At 37.2% G+C, this 16,242-nt stretch overlaps 1 protein-coding gene across 16 annotated transcripts in view; it reads left to right on the forward strand.

Moving 5' to 3' along the window:
• The window catches only part of ADAMTSL1 (ADAMTS like 1), a 1,004,318-nt gene that overhangs the window by 723,809 nt on the left and 264,267 nt on the right, over nucleotides 1-16,242 (forward strand). For all 16 annotated transcript variants that reach the window (XM_011518064.4, XM_017015312.3, XM_011518063.3 and 13 more), the window contains 2 exons: nucleotides 5,502-5,576; nucleotides 8,813-8,970. In XM_011518064.4, coding sequence (XP_011516366.1) covers nucleotides 5,502-5,576; nucleotides 8,813-8,970 — 233 coding nt within the window. The remainder of the gene's footprint in view (nucleotides 1-5,501; nucleotides 5,577-8,812; nucleotides 8,971-16,242) is intronic.

Here is a 16,242-nt window from a genome sequence, read left to right on the forward strand (position 1 = left end):
TCCTTCTGTATAGCTCTCTCCTTTCTGTTACTTTGTCCCAGAAATTCTAACTGTTTTTGTCTCCTTGGACTCTTGGCTTTGTCTACTCAATTCAGGGAATCTACTGAGCTCTACAGGTCTTCATACTTCCAAAGCTGTAGCCTAGGAACTCTATCAAGGCAGTAAGCTGGGGCAATGTTGGGCCTTATCTGATGTGTTTCCTGAGTATACAGAATTGCTGCCCTTTTTTGCCTGATGTCCAATATCTTAAAAACCATGGTTTCATCTGACTTTTTGATTGTTTTAGACAGAATATTAAATCTGGTTCCTGTTAGTTCATCTTTGTCAGAAGCAGAAGTCTTGGTGCTGGGCTTTCAATTCAGCTCTGCAATTACATAGAGCTAGCCAACTTTTGACTCCTTCTACGACAATGCAGTTAAGCACCTGTAATTCTGATTCCTCATCTCCCTACAACCTCCACAGCCATTTGGTTCCTAGAGGTTGAATGTGTTCCAATATTGTCTTATAATTTTCTCCCAAGCGGCTGACACTCATTTTGTGAGTTTGATACTGGCTGTTTTGATGTTAGCACCTGTGTAGGCAACGGTATCTATGTCAGGATTATCGCCTGAGTGAGAGGGAATATAAGATACTACTGATTGTGAGATGTATTCTGATTTCATATATGTTAAAGCATGAAAAGTTGTCCCTCTTGGAATCAATGAAATAGGGTATTTTGACAACAGAACTTTTTAACTGATTACATATAAAGATGAAGTAGAGGATGGCTCCAAGTTTTCTGGCCTAGGCAAATGGAAGGATGAAGTTCTCCAGATGGGAATGAGGAGGGCATCTTGTTTGGCCTGTCCAGTATATATCTTCTATTGTGCAATTACAGATAAACCAGGGAGAAAATTGAAAGCCTCAGATGCTCAACTTCTTATTTTGTTGGATATATTTTAAGAGTAATAAAACCGTCACGAAGATGTAAAACATACCATTTAAACCTCCTCAAGATTGGCAGACTATTTTTATACATAGTCAATTGTATTTTAAAATGACTCTCTCATTTTTAAAAATAAAATAAAATAAAGTGTCAGCTCCATAGGCATAGAGGGAAGAGTCTTTAAAAACATGAACTCATCAACGGATCTAAAAATAAGATAAACTCAGATATCAGAATAGGAAATTCTGTCTTTCAAAATATTATCCTCATCACCTTTCTCTGACACAGCTGTGAATCACGCAGAACATCCACATATGACAAGATTTTAAAATGAATATAAAATATTCTATATAGAAAGTTGTGTGATATACATATAGATAGATATTTTTTAAAGAATACTTTTAGGTACAGTCCTTGGGAAGAATTTTCTTGAGAAAAGACATTTGCAACCCATATCTGTGAAATGACAGAATTTATGATTCCCATGGAAATTTTGTTCATTGAATGGAGAAATGGGTTATCTGGTATCTGAAGCAGATCATTTAGAATTGTTGATTAATAAGCTAGAAATATGTCCTGAAGACTGGCATCATGGTTCAGTCAACAAAGCCAGAATAGATTAGGGCAGATGCACTCAATCGTAAAACAGTGTGCCTTTGTAGGAAAGGGCACCCAGAGGAATGTGCAGCACGGTGGGAGAGGATGTGGCCCCTGCCTCGCCAGCTATACTAATGGCATTAATCACCAAGGAGGCAGGTGTTGCCACCAGATTGCTCTCACATCCTAAGAGATCTTAAACACCACTCTGTGCACAATATTGTAATAGATGCCAAGTAGAAGCATCTTCCAATCCATCCCAAATCATTGAGGATTTATCAGAAAGTGAGACAATTATTAATACATAAACAACTCAAAAGTGGCTTTTTATGAACATGCAGAAAATGAAATTTTTAATTGTTTTCCCTATTTTGTTTTTTGTTAAATTAAGAGTACTGTTCCTTAAAGTATGTCCTAAGATATATCAGCTGATTTTAACAGATGACACATAAGAAAAAGTTTTTATGGATAAACATCTTAGGTATACACGGGGTTAAATAGAGTGAAATGGGTTTCTTTGGTGCAGTGCTCCTAAAAAAATGAATGAATATGCTTTGGGAATTTCATCTGTGGGGTGTAGTATTTTGTATTTCCCCCATATTTTATCTTAGATCCCTTTTTCAGGACCATCTCGTGGGGCTAGTGCTTTGTTTATCTTCTTTGTCACTGAATCCCTAGTACCTAGCATGGAGCCTGACACTAAAAGACACTCAAAAAATACTTGTGGAATAAAGTAATGAATTTGCAGATCGTTTAATGTCTGGCCAGGGGTCCATCAGCCCTTTTCAGAATAATATATAAGAGAAGGCTGTGGCTCTTCCTACTTCTGTGCCATGTGCTGCCAACTGCTAGAGTTTGTACCAGCCTGACTTGCTTCATTTCTCTTTGACTAGGTGAGTGCAAGGGGCATCAGGAAATACTATTTCACCTGGTCTACTTTCTCCATATACCCTCTTCCTCAACAACTTTCTAGGAGGTTCTTCTCCTCTCTTTTTTGGGGGTGCATGCTAATGTTACCACACCCTGTCTTCTTTAGGGAACATACAGATATTACAGCATCAGCCAAGAGCTAGGGTATTAATGTTCCAGTTTATGGAATGTGAGTCACTTCCCAGCAGAGCAAGAGGGAGGCTGCATGAGCTGTGTGTGGGTCAGAAGACTGCTGCTGAGCATGGCAGGGCCAAACAGAAAGCTTTCCTTTTACTTGCACTTTATTTGAACTGTGGGTAAACAAAGACTTTCTATTTCTAGAAAGTCCCATTGTTTTAACTGCTTTGAGTTTCTTTTGCAAACTTAAAAAGTCATGTCTTTATGCAAGGCGTTTAAAGCTCTGTAGGCCCAGTCTCGGCCGGGTGTGGTGGCTCACTCCAGTAATCCCAGCATTTTGGGAGGCCGAGGTGGGTGGATCACAAGGTCAGGAGTTCAAGACCTGCCTGGCCAAGATGGTGAAACCCCGTCTCTACTAAAAATACAAAAATTAGCCGGGCTGCAGTGGCAGAAGTCTGTAATCCCAGCTACTTGAGGCTGAGGCAGGAGAATCACTTGAACCCAGGGGGCGGAGGTTGCAGTGAGTCAAGATCACAATCATGCTACTGCACTCTAGCCTGGGTAACAAAGTGAGACTCCATCTCAAAAAACAAACAAACCAAAGAAGCTCTGTAGGCCTAATCTTAACTTTTTTTTTTTTTTTTTTGGTTCCTTTTCTATATTCCCCTTACACTTTTTTCTGTTGTTGTTCTTATATACCACAAATTCTTAGCTCTCTGAAATTCAACAATGTATGACATTAAAAACAGCTATAAGATTTTGTCATGAGTGGAATATTCAACTTTGTAGAGAACTCGATAATGTAACCTCTCCAGGGAAGGAATTGGGAGCATATGATTCTTTTTTCTCATTCAACAGATAATGTGCTAGGGGCCTTGGAGAGTTGAAACACTATTTAAAAAAAAAATAGTTTTTCAATCCCTGTCCTTTAAGAGATTTGGGGTAGAGAGAGGAAAATAATGTTTACAGAATACTTACTGTGTTCCAGGCTATACATCCCTATATCTAGATTCATGTCTATATTTATATCTAGTCACGACAATAGTATAAGGCAAGTTTTGTTTTCCCTGTTTTACAAATGAGGAAACTGAAGATCAGAGAAGTCAGGTAACTTCTGAGATTCACTAATTTAAACTAAATTCTCCTAAAGATAGGATGATAATATTAAGGTTCAGAGAAATTGAGTAACAATTGGGATTATCTTATTTAACCTAAATCCTTCCAATGATAGGATAATTATGTACACTGTTAAAAAAAAATATGTCTGAACAGGCCAGGTGCAGTGGCTTACCCATGCAATCCCAGCACTTTGGGAGGCCGAGGCAGGTGGATCTCTTCAGTTCAGGAGTTCAAGACAAGCGTGGGCAACATGGCAAAACCACATCTCTACAAAATTACAAAAACCATCTGGGCGTAGTGGTGTGCACCTGCAGTCCCAGCTACTTGGGGTGCTGAAGTAGGAGGATCTCTTGAGCCCGGGAAGCTAAGGCTGCAGTGAGCTGTGATCACACTGTGATAGCGAGACCCTATCTCAAAATAATAATAAGGGCTGAGTGCAGTGGCTCACGCCTGTAATCCCAGCACTTTGGGAGGCTGAGGTGAGCGGATCATGAGGTCAGGAGTTCGAGACCAGTCTGGCCAATATAGTGAAACCCCATCTCAACTAAAAATACAAAAATTAGTCAGGCGTGATGGTGGGCGCCTATAATCCCAGCTACTTGGGAGGCTGAGGCAGAAGAATTGCTTGAACCCAGGAAACAGAGGTTGCAGTTGAGCCAAGATCACACCACTGCACTCCAGCCTGGGTGACAGAGCGAGATTCCTCAAAAAAAAAAAAAGAATATGTAAATATATATATATATATTTATATATATAAATATGTATGTAAATATATATTTAATATATATATATTAAATAAAAAAGATAAGTATGAACAAAGAATCACACAGGGCTTCTGAATATGCTGGTAAATATTTTAAAACCTGCCTTTCTCTTGTCTTCTGAAGTGCCTTTCTATCCATTTGATCTTGGACTATGCATTGTACTTCCCAGAAATTTCATTTGTTCATCAGAAAATCCTCTGTGCCAATGTCAGAAGTTTTGGGTGAGGGAGTAAATAGTATAATTTAGGTGAAATTTAACCTCTGCAGTACCATAAAAATATAAGATACTGTCATTACAAATGGAGTTCTGAATAAGAATGCCTGTGATGGTATTTGAGATGCATGTAATATAGCTCTAATTTTTAAAAATGTCTGTGTCTAATGAATTTAAGCTCAATTTATAAATAGAGTGAAAAGAAATCTATTATAAAGTGATCTGTGGTTCAGTCAATTTCTAAAAAAAAATTTTAAAATAGAGTATAGTGTAGAGAAATGTTAAGAAACACTTATGGGGTGCTCACTACATATAGTATTAGGAATAGATATTGTGAAGGATATTTAAGAACTAGAAGGCATGATTTCTGCCCCTGGGGTGTTCAGCGCATACCAATATATCTTCCACTTCTCTTACCTGTTCTACTCATCCAAGATACTCTGCTGGAGAGAAGTCCAGATTTTGATGTAATAAATTCATCCTTTAAACATTATAATGTATTTTTATGTTTTAATTCAGCCCAAGTGTTTTTGATCATATAAGACCAGATTTTAAAATCGAAAATGAAAACTTGCAAACCAATTTTTCAGTATATCAAAATTCCTATTTTTTAAAAGGCCAAATCCTCTAGGAGTTAACTAGTGACTAGCATCTTTGGCATATTTTATTTTGAGCAAAGTGAAAATGTTGATTTCTAAATATTGGCCTTCACATTTCAAACACTTAAAAAAACTGTAGTTTTTAAGGTATGGAAGTCAGTGCCTTTATTTAGAAGGCAATCAATAATTTTGTGTCAAGTGACATGCTTTTAAGATTTTGCTTTGTTTCTCTCTAGCGGATGATACTGTGGTTGCAATTCCCTATGGAAGTAGACATATTCGCCTTGTCTTAAAAGGTCCTGATCACTTATGTAAGTAACTCCATTGTTTTCCTTTGGGAATTGGGAATTGTAGTCATTATTATTTATTTTGTCTTCCCAGAAAAGATTAAAACACAAGAATACAAATCTTTCTACTCTATCATAATATGATATTTTGAGTACCTCTGTTTATCTTTTAGCTGCCTGATGAGATGGCAGAAACCCCTGTAGTAATTATCTTTAACCACAGTCATCCTGAAAAATACAAAATAGATGCTCCCAATGGGTTGTTCATGGGTTAAGCACATGTTTATGCTCTTGCGAGTGTTATATCTCATTCTCTTTCTTCTTCCTTTCCAATCTCAATCTTTTTTTGCCTTGCCTCTCCTTTTTTCTTCTTTCTTCTAACCCACTTCTCTTTTCTTCCTTTATTCTCTTTTTCTACCTACTTTCATGTTTCATTACTTCCATCAATCCAGAGGAACATAGAAACACCAAACAACCTTAACACTGTAGAATTTAAAGAAAACCATCATGGTGTAATTAAGCATCCCATGTTTTAAAGAAAATTCAGGGACCTCATATCTTAAAGATAGCTACTGGGATTCAGGATTGAATGGTAATCATAACCCCAAAGATCAAATGGCAGCATGGCTCCTCCAGGGTTTGTGCAAAAATTGATCTTCAATCATGCCAAGGCAGCAGTACAGAGCCACCTATTTCTTATTATTTAGTGTTGTTTAGATACAGACCTGTAAATTACAAGAAGAAAATTATAGGCTATAAACAAAGAAGAGGATGGGAGGGGATATGGTAGCATTTTCTGTAAAATTCAGTTTCACTGAAAGGCTTCACTTCAGTTGGTTCCTTGAGCATTTCTGATTTCCTCCACTGTGATTGTTCCTGGGTTTCCACAAAGCCATCTATCGTCTGTCCTTTCTCCCCTCCCACACAAATGCCTGTGAAACCAATTTAGATAGCAAGTAGTATTTTTTAGTAGTTGGATTATGAATGAAATCACGCTAAAAAGGCAAACAAGAGGAAGACAAATTGAAGCCCATAAAAGTCAAGATAGCCTACAGTAGTCTTTCTAGATATAAAAATAAATACATGTCATGGAAGAGGTGGGATTTGAAAGGCCTTGTGAAGTAAAAGAATAAGTAAGGTACAGTTCAGGCAAAACCAGAAAATGATGATTAAGTCACCTTCTATGGATTCAAGTTTGTTTCTAATCCTGAACAACCCTGTAAAATACAGTGTTCACATGTCAAAAGATAATGTATGTGTGTGTATTATTACCACTCAAATGATTCATTTTTCCCCATTTGAGAACTGGAGAGGGCTAACTGTCCACTAACTCTCCACTCAACTAACTCTCCACTCAAAAATAGTACTTTTGTGAGCAGTAACAGATACTGAAATAAAATATTCAGGCCAAGAACATCACCAAGTGGGGGACTGACTCTTCATTGCGGAAGAAAGAACCCATAGGAGTAGATTTAAGAGGGAAATTTATTTTTATAAATGTATTAGTCTCATAGATTTCATAATTATGTGATCACAAAGAAGCTGAAGAATTGGCCTTGTGTGATTTAATTATCCTAAAGATTTGATGAAAAGCAAACTGGAACCTGCTTTTTTCTCCCAACAAACATACTATTGGTAGCATATGTATAGCTAAATCATTTTTCCTTGTGTGTTCTTTTTTTGTATTTGAAATATAATTCAGCAAAATGAATGTGGGAGTGAAAGATACCCTGTTTCTCTTTTGCTCTTCACTCCCAGAAGCTGGTACAGTGTGAAACCAACCTTAAATATTTTGGACCAAACCAGAATAAGATGAGGCAATCTAGTCTGCCCCCTTGGCTCATCTTTAATTAGAGGTACCTTGAGAAGGACAGCTGTAAGCCTCTTGATAAAATGGAATCAGATGCTCAGATCAGGCCTACAACTGCAAGATTTTCCCAAAACTAAGTTAATTGATGTCCTAGAAATATTTCTACAAGTGCCTGTGAGGCAGTTTGAGGAATGAAGGCTGGAGGAAGGAGATTTAGTGCAGTTGCTTTCCCCTGATGACAACAACGTGATTTCCTCCCTGCAATATTCCTTTAATGTGCCCTGTATTTTTCGGTGGGATCCCCTCTGTTCTGGGGCAAGGGAGTGAAGCCTGGCCTACTCCAGAAGAAAGTCTCCACAGACTTCATTTGAGAATCACTGGGCATTTAATTGAACACCAAGGTTTTCCACTTGTTGATATTCTTTGCAATAGAGAACTACAAGTAGACCCCCTCTACAATAATGTAATACAAGTACTTTAGGTACTTGAGTGCCTCCAGAGACCTTAAAATTGTTTTAACCCAGAGCCCCATCCAAGCACTCCATTTTTCTGCTGAGGAATCTCTGCCAAAACCAAACGTTCTTGTCAAGTTTTGGAACCCATTAGCCTTAGTCCATCCATCTTTCTTCGTGCAACATAACAGACAGTTGTTCTAAATCACCCCTCAGTCACATGAGAACTTAGTCTTCTCTGAATCACACAACATAATTACCATCATCCCCAGCATGCTCTGATTTTCTACAACAAAACATGCTTCATAGGCTTTGTCATTGGCCAAATCTGGATTTGAATGCTCCAGAAATCAAGGTTTTTTTTCTATCTCAAGCAGTTATGAAATACCTTATATATGCATAAAGCTGAACTAAGTATCAAAATGGATTTTAAAAAGAAAATACTGAAAATGATAGTTCTTGTTCTTACATCACTATCGTTTCTTCATTTTGAGCAATAGCATCAGTGCAGTAAGTAACCAGAAAGTATAAATAAACACAGGCTAATGCACGAATATAAAGTCATACGGGTACTGAGGCAACTCAGAGATACACCCTGGATCTTGTAGAGCAAAAAGAAAACTGGAGGGTATCCTAGGCTGAGGGCCATCAAGATTGAAGTCAAAAAGAGACATATGAGAATTGGTTTAGTCAAAGGAATAGGGTTGCAGTAAAGCGGGATGCCCAAATAACATCATCTGGAGAGTCAAAGATTTTTTTGACAGGAACCCTTGAATGCCTGGCTAATGACTTTTGAAATAATTTCAACTCCAGCATAAATTCCTATGTGACTCAGCAGTGCCTGTATAGTTTGTTGATATCACAATTTCAATTTTGTCAGCTATATAAAGAATGATGTGTCTCCCTTACCTAGCTCTAAACATTGTTGCATGAAATGTGCTTGCCTGTGGTTGCCCTAGGAACATCTTTCTCTCATCTTCACGTGTTTGATCATATAGATCTGGAAACCAAAACCCTCCAGGGGACTAAAGGTGAAAACAGTCTCAGCTCCACAGGAACTTTCCTTGTGGACAATTCTAGTGTGGACTTCCAGAAATTTCCAGACAAAGAGATACTGAGAATGGCTGGACCACTCACAGCAGATTTCATTGTCAAGGTGAGCCCTATTTAGATACCTCCTTTTCAAGCCACATCCCAAATGATGTTACTTATAATTTCCTGAGCAGAGAGCGATTTTTGGTTCTGACATATGTTTGGAAAGCCCGTTTGTTACCCAGGAAATGTTTAATCTGAGGGTGTTGAGCTAGCTGCATCCTGGACCTTATGAGGACATATGATATTTCAAGGTCATAGAAAATCTTTATTATATAATTAATACAATCTTTATTATGTAATTAATAAAATAACCCCACCTAAGAGGCCAATGTATCATAAGTTGGTGGCTATAGATTGTTTTTAAAATAGTTTGGATACAGTCATTGACTTATATAGGCTATCCTCAGTAAAAGAGAAAAACAAACTAATTATCCATCATCTTGGTCAACTGATCATTCTTCCAATGGCAAGCTCTGTTTTCTTTTGTGCTGGCAAGAAAACTAAGTTGTTTCCTTCTATCAGAGCTTCCCTAGTCTTCAAGGTAATATAAAACACATTGCTGGAAGCAACATGCACATTCTGCTGGAAAAGTGCACACACTAGAAGAACTTTTGGGAATCACAATAAAATAAAACATATTTTTTCCTTCAGTAGGTCAGGAGCACCTGAAGGATTTCAGCTGTAAAGCTGTAAAACTTGTAATGTGTCCAGGACTCCATAAATTTTTCATCATGGGACCTGGAGCCAGAGGACATTTGATTTAAGCTAAAGCTTGATGACCCCATGGCAGCTGGAAGTAAGAATGCATATAGGAAAATGCAATAGGCAGTAAGGTTAGAGGGAGAAAGGTTCCAGAATACTGTCCTCCGTCTCCATCTGCATGGTAGTTCTTTTTAATCCAGTCCAGACGCCAGCCACATGAACGTGAGCAAGAAGCTACAAGCCATCCGAGGTAGCTCACAATAGAAATGATGCTGTAGGTAGTTAAATGATTTCTGTTAAGCAAGAAAATCCAGTAAAGAAGTGAAAGATGTCTTTATTCTTTGAAGCCCTTGGAGTACCATTAAATAGACCAAGTATACTATAGTAATTTCCCTAGTGGCCTTGTGAGAGTTAATACACATACTGAAATTATATAACTGGATTCAAGCAATATTGCTTACATTGGAACAGCTCACAGCATTGTCAAATGTGTTACATCTATCCAGTTGCCTTCTGCACATCACTGCTTGAATAACCCATAGGCACAACAAGCCCGACATGCGTAAGTTTAACTTGAGCCCCAGAAACCTGCTTTATCATCTTTATTTTTTTAATCTTATAAATGAAGACACTGTCTGCCCAGGCAAATCAGAAACCTTTGATTCACCCTGATTTTCCCTTCTATATGCCACCGGTCAGACTTCATCCAAACTATCTCTCAACATTGGTTTTTCTCCTCCATCCTTGCTGCCACTGCGTTAGCGCAGGCCTTTACTTTTTCTCATCTGAACTAGTACCATGGACCCTGAGCTAGTTTACCAGCCTCTGATTTCATTGCCTATGTTACCTTCAGAGTGCGTTTCCTAAAATCCCTTTCCTAATCCTTCATAACCCCTCACCTTCACTCATTGCCTCTAGGTTAGAAGACAAATCCATAGCCACAGTATCTGCTACTCTGGTTTAGCTGGATTGTGCCCACCTTTCCAATCTCACCTTTGACTTTTCCCCTTCTGTTTCAGACCTGAATGCCGGGCAGGTCCCCCAGCACCTTACACTCTCATAACTCATTACCTTTGCAGGATGCTGTGCCCTCTACCTGGAATGCTCTTATCTTGTCTTCTTCCATTCTCTTCACTACCTCTTATTTCTTCTTCAAGATCTCCTCCTTCCAGGAGTATTCTTTGACTCTACCCCAAATTTCTGTCTGTATCTCCCCACCTCTGTGTTCCTTGAGAGAAGAAACTGAATTGTATTTGTCTTCATATCTCCATAAGAAGAACCTAATAAGCACTAACAACTGCTGGATAAATAAAGAATTTTTGCCACACAACAATTGTTTAAATAGAGCAGATGCTGACATCTCTATTATACCCACAAGGAAACTTAGCTTCAGGAAAGTTGAGTGACTTGCCTGAGTTCACACTGATGGGAAGCCAGCACTGAAAATCACATCTCTTTACTTCTGGTCCAGAACGCTTTTAATATTTTGTGTTGCTTCTAAGAGTATATATCTTTTTCTTCAGTGTTTCTTTAGAAAACACTGGGAATCAAATAAATGTAAAGTTATTCTAAGATAGATTATGTAATTCTTAAATTAGTTTGCTTAAACTTTAAAAGGAGCCAGATTATTGAAGTACGTACAGAAAAAAAGAAGAAAATTATCTTTTTTCTAGTACTTCGTAATGAAACAACTTTCTCTTCCCTAATTTTCCTCAGAGAAATAGCTGAAAACAAGATATTACTATTATTTATCAGTTTTCATGACTTAGCTTTTATAATTATATATATCATATGAATTAAGCTTTCAGTAGCATTCAAAGTATAGTCTCTTTTGCATTATATATATAATACATATGTATAGTTGATTAATCAAATTCTCTTTATAGATTTAAATGGCCATGTACCTAAGTCTCAAACCAACCTCACCTTGACAAACGTCATTAGAAACACCAAAATCCATCTTCACAATCAGCAAAATAGCATCATCCTTGAGATGGGGTCATTACCCTGGTGATCTGGTGGTATGAAGTCAGGTGATTCAGAAAGTGGAATAAACCAAACATACAGCAGAAAGCCATCAGTGTGGTGCTTACACAGAGGCCATGACTATCTGGGTCTTCACAGAGAGCTATCCAACAGCTATCTGAAGATTTTTTTTTCTTCAAGGCATGGCAGGATTTTATTTTTGAGATGTGGACATTGTCTTAAAACAGTGTAATTGAAACAAGTTCTCTTTTAATTTTTATTAATTAATTTTTAATTAATGAGTAAAAACTAGATTCATCATATACAACATGTTTTCAAATATGTATACTTTGGGGAACAGCTGAACTGAGCTAATTAACATATGTGTTACTTCACATATTTATCAATTTTTTGTGTTGAGAACACTTAAAATCTATCTCTTGGCAACTTTCACAAATACAATACATTGTTATTAACTGCAGCCACCGTGTTGTAGGTAGATCTCCTGAACTTATTTCTCCTAACGAAATTTTGTATCTTTTGACCAACATTTCCCCCACAGTTCACTTCCACCCCAACCCCCTGGTAGCCAATATTCTACTCTGTGTTTCTATTAGGTCAATTGTTTTAGATTTGACACAGAAGTATTATTAATATCACGCAGTATTTGTCTTTCTGGGCCTAGCTTATTTCATTTAACATAATGTTCTCCAGGTTCATCCACATTGTCACAATGACGGGATTTTCTTCTTTTTTCAAAGCTGAATAGTATTCCATTGTGCATACATATTACATTTTGTTTATCTGTCTGTTGATGAACACCTAGGTTGATTTCACATCTTGGCTGTTGTGACTAGTGCTGCAGTGAACACGAGAGTGTAGATATCTCTTCAACATACTGATTTCATTTCCTTCGAGTATATACCCAGGAGTGAGATTGCTGGATCATATGGTAGTTCTGTTTTTCAAATTTTTTTAGAAATGTTTATACTGTTTTCTACAATGGCTGAATCAATTTACATTCCCACCCATAGTATCAAAGGGTTCCCTTTTCTCTACATCCGTGCCAATACTTACCTTTTGTCTTTTTGATAACAGCAATTCTATAAGGTGTAAGGTGATATTATAGTACTGAATGCCTTTCCCTGATGATTAATGATGTTGAGCATTTTTAAATATGCCTGTTGGCCATTTGTATGTCTTCTCTTGAGAAAAGTCTATTCAGATCCTTTGTTTATTTTTCAGTCAGATTGTTTTCTTGCTATTGAGTTGTTTGAGTTTCTTGTATATTTTGGGTATTAGCCCCTTATCAGAAGTGTGATTTGCAATTTTTTTTCCATTCTGTAGGTTGTCTCTTCACTCTGTTGATTGTTTCCTTCACTGTGCAGAAGCTTTTTAGTTTAATGTAATCCCATTTATCTATTTTTGCTTTTGTTGCCTGTACTTTTGGGTCATATTCAAAAAATTGCCCAGACCAATTGCAGATTGTCACCTATGTTTTCTTCTAGTAATTTTATAGTTTCAGGTCTTACACTTAAGTCTTTAATCCATTTTAAGTTGATTTTTGTGTATAGTGTGAGATACGGGTCTGATTTTATTCTTCCACATATGGAAGTTTTTCCAAACACTACTGTCCTTTTCGCAGCAACTTTGTCAGAAAATCAATTGGCCTTAAATTTCTGAATTAACATCTGGGCTGTCTTCTCTTTCATTGGTCTATGTGTCTGTTTTTAGACTGGTACCATGTTGTTTTGATTACTATAGCTTTTCAGTAGATTTTGAAATCAGGTCGTATGATGCCTTTATCTTTTTTCTTTTTTGTTCTAGATTGCTTTGGCTATTTGGGGTATTTTGTGGTTCCATTTGAATTTTAGGGTTTTTTTTTCCATTTCTGTGAAAAATGTCATTGGAATTTTGATGGAGATTCCATTAAATCTGTAGATAGTGTTGGGTAGTACGGACATTTAACAATATAAATTCTTCCAATTCATAACACATGATATCTTTCCATTAATTTGTGTTTTCTTCAATTTTTTCATCAATCTTTTATAGTTTTCAGTGTCTTTCACTTTCTTGATTAAATTTACTCCTAAATATTGGGGGTTTTTGGTAGGTATTATACCTGGGATTGTTTCATTAATTTCTTTTTTGAATGGTTTGATATTAGTGTATAGAAATGCTATTGATGTTTATATGTTGATTTTTTTATCCTGCAACTTTACTGAATTTATTGATTAGTTCTAAAAGTTTTTTGGTGGATGCATTATATATTAATTTAAGCAGTGCATTGCTTTTTGAAAAAGATATTGCAGGAATCAGAATGGCCACTTGTCAGTATCTCCATGGAATTTTATTTTTTTTATTTTTATTTTTTTAATTATTATTATACTTTAAGTTTTAGGGTACATATGCACAATGTGCAGGTTAGTTACATATGTATACATGTGGCATGCTGGTGTGCTGCACCCATTAACTTGTCATTTGGTATTAGGTATATCTCCTAATGCTATCCCTCCCCCCTACCCCCACCCCACAACAGTCCCCAGAGTGTGATGTTCCCCTTCCTGTGTCCATGTGTTCTCATTGTTCAATTCCCATCTATGAGTGAGAACATGCAGTGTTTGGTTTTTTGTCCTTGCGATAGTTTACTGAGAATGATGATTTCCAATTTCATCCATGTCCCTACAAAGGACATGAACTCATCATTTTTTATGGCTGCATAGTATTCCATGGTGTATATGTGCCACATTTTCTTAATCCAGTCTATCATTGTTGGACATTTGGGTTAGTTCCAAGTCTTTGTTATTGTGAATAGTGCCACAATAAACATACGTGTGCATGTGTCTTTATAGCAGCATGATTTATAGTCCTTTGGGTATATACCCAGTAATGGGATGGCTGGGTCAAATGGTATTTCTAGTTCTAGATCCCTGAGGAATCGCCACACTGACTTCCACAATGGTTGCACTAGTTTACAGTCCCACCAACAGTGTAAAAGTGTTTCTATTTCTCCACATCTTCTCCAGCACCTGTTGTTTCCTGACTTTTTAATGATTGCCATTCTACCTGGTGTGAGATGGTATCTCATTGTGGTTTTGATTTGCATTTCTCTGAGGGCCAGTGATGATGAGCATTTTTTCATGTGTCTTTTGGCTGCAAAAATGTCTTCTTTTGAGAAGTGTCTGTTCATGTCCTTCACCCACTTTTTGATGGGGTTGTTTGTTTTATTCTTGTAAATTTGTTTGAGTTCATTGTAGATTCTGGATATTAGCCCTTTGTCAGATGAGTAGATTGTTAAAATTTTCTCCCGTTTTGTAGGTTGCCTGTTCACTCTGATGGTAGTTTCTTTTGCTGTGCAGAAGCTCTTTAGTTTAATTAGATCCCATTTGTCAGTTTTGGCTTTTGTTGCCATTGCTTTTGGTGTTTTAGACATGAAGTCCTTGCCCATGCCTATGTCCTGAATGGTAATGCCTAGGTTTTCCTCTAGGGTTTTTATGGTTTTAGGTCTAACGTTTAAGTCTTTAATCCATCTTGAATTAATTTTTGTATAAGGTGTGAGGAAGGGATCCAGTTTCAGCTTTCTACGTGTGGCTAGCCAGTTTTCCCAGCACCATTTATTAAATAGGGAATCCTTTCCCCATTGCTTGTTTTTCTCAGGTTTGTCAAAGATCAGATAGTTGTAGATATGCAGCATTATTTCTGAGGGCTCTGTTCTGTTCCATTGATCTATATCTCTGTTTTGGTACCAGTACCATGCTGTTTTGGTTACTGTAGCCTTGTAGTATAGTTTGAAGTCAGGTAGTGTGATGCCTCCAGCTTTGTTCTTTTGGCTTAGGATTGACTTGGCGATGTGGGCTCTTTTTTGGTTCCATATGAACTTTAAAGTAGTTTTTTCCAATTCTGTGAAGAAAGTCATTGGTAGCTTGATGGGGATGGCATTGAATCTGTAAATTACCTTGGGCAGTATGGCCATTTTCATGATACTGATTCTTCCTATCCATGAGCATAGAATGTTCTTCCATTTGTTTGTATCCTCTTTTATTTCCTTGAGCAGTGGTTTGTAGTTCTCCTTGAAGAGGTCCTTCACATCCCTTGTAAGTTGGATTCCTAGGTATTTTATTCTTTTTGAAGCAATTGTGAATCGGAGTTCACTCATGATTTGGCTCTCTGTTTGTCTGTTATTGGTGTATAAGAATGCTTGTGATTTTTGTACATTGATTTTGTATCTTGAGACTTTGCTGAAGTTGCTTATCAGCTTAAGGAGATTTTGGGCTGAGACAATGGGGTTTTCTAGATATACAATCATGTCATCTTCAAACAGGGATAATTTGACTTCCTCTTTTCCTAATTGAATACCCTTTATTTCCTTCTCCTGCCTAATTGCCCTGGCCAGAACTTCCAGCACTATGTTGAATAGGAGTGGTGAGAGAGGGCATCCCTGTCTTGTGCCAGTTTTCAAAGGGAATGCTCCCAGTTTTTGCCCATTCAGTATGATATTGGCTGTGGGTTTGTCACAGATAGCTCTTATTATTTTGAGATACGTCCCATCAATACCTAATTTATTGAGACTTTTTAGCATGAAGGGTTGTTGAATTTTGTCAAAGGCCTTTTCTGCATCTATTGAGATAATCATGTGGTTTTTGTCTTTGGTTCTGTTTATATGCTG

The sequence above is a fragment of the Homo sapiens genome, chromosome 9, assembly GCF_000001405.40.
Source record: "Homo sapiens chromosome 9, GRCh38.p14 Primary Assembly".
Classification (NCBI taxonomy): Eukaryota; Metazoa; Chordata; class Mammalia; order Primates; family Hominidae; genus Homo; species Homo sapiens.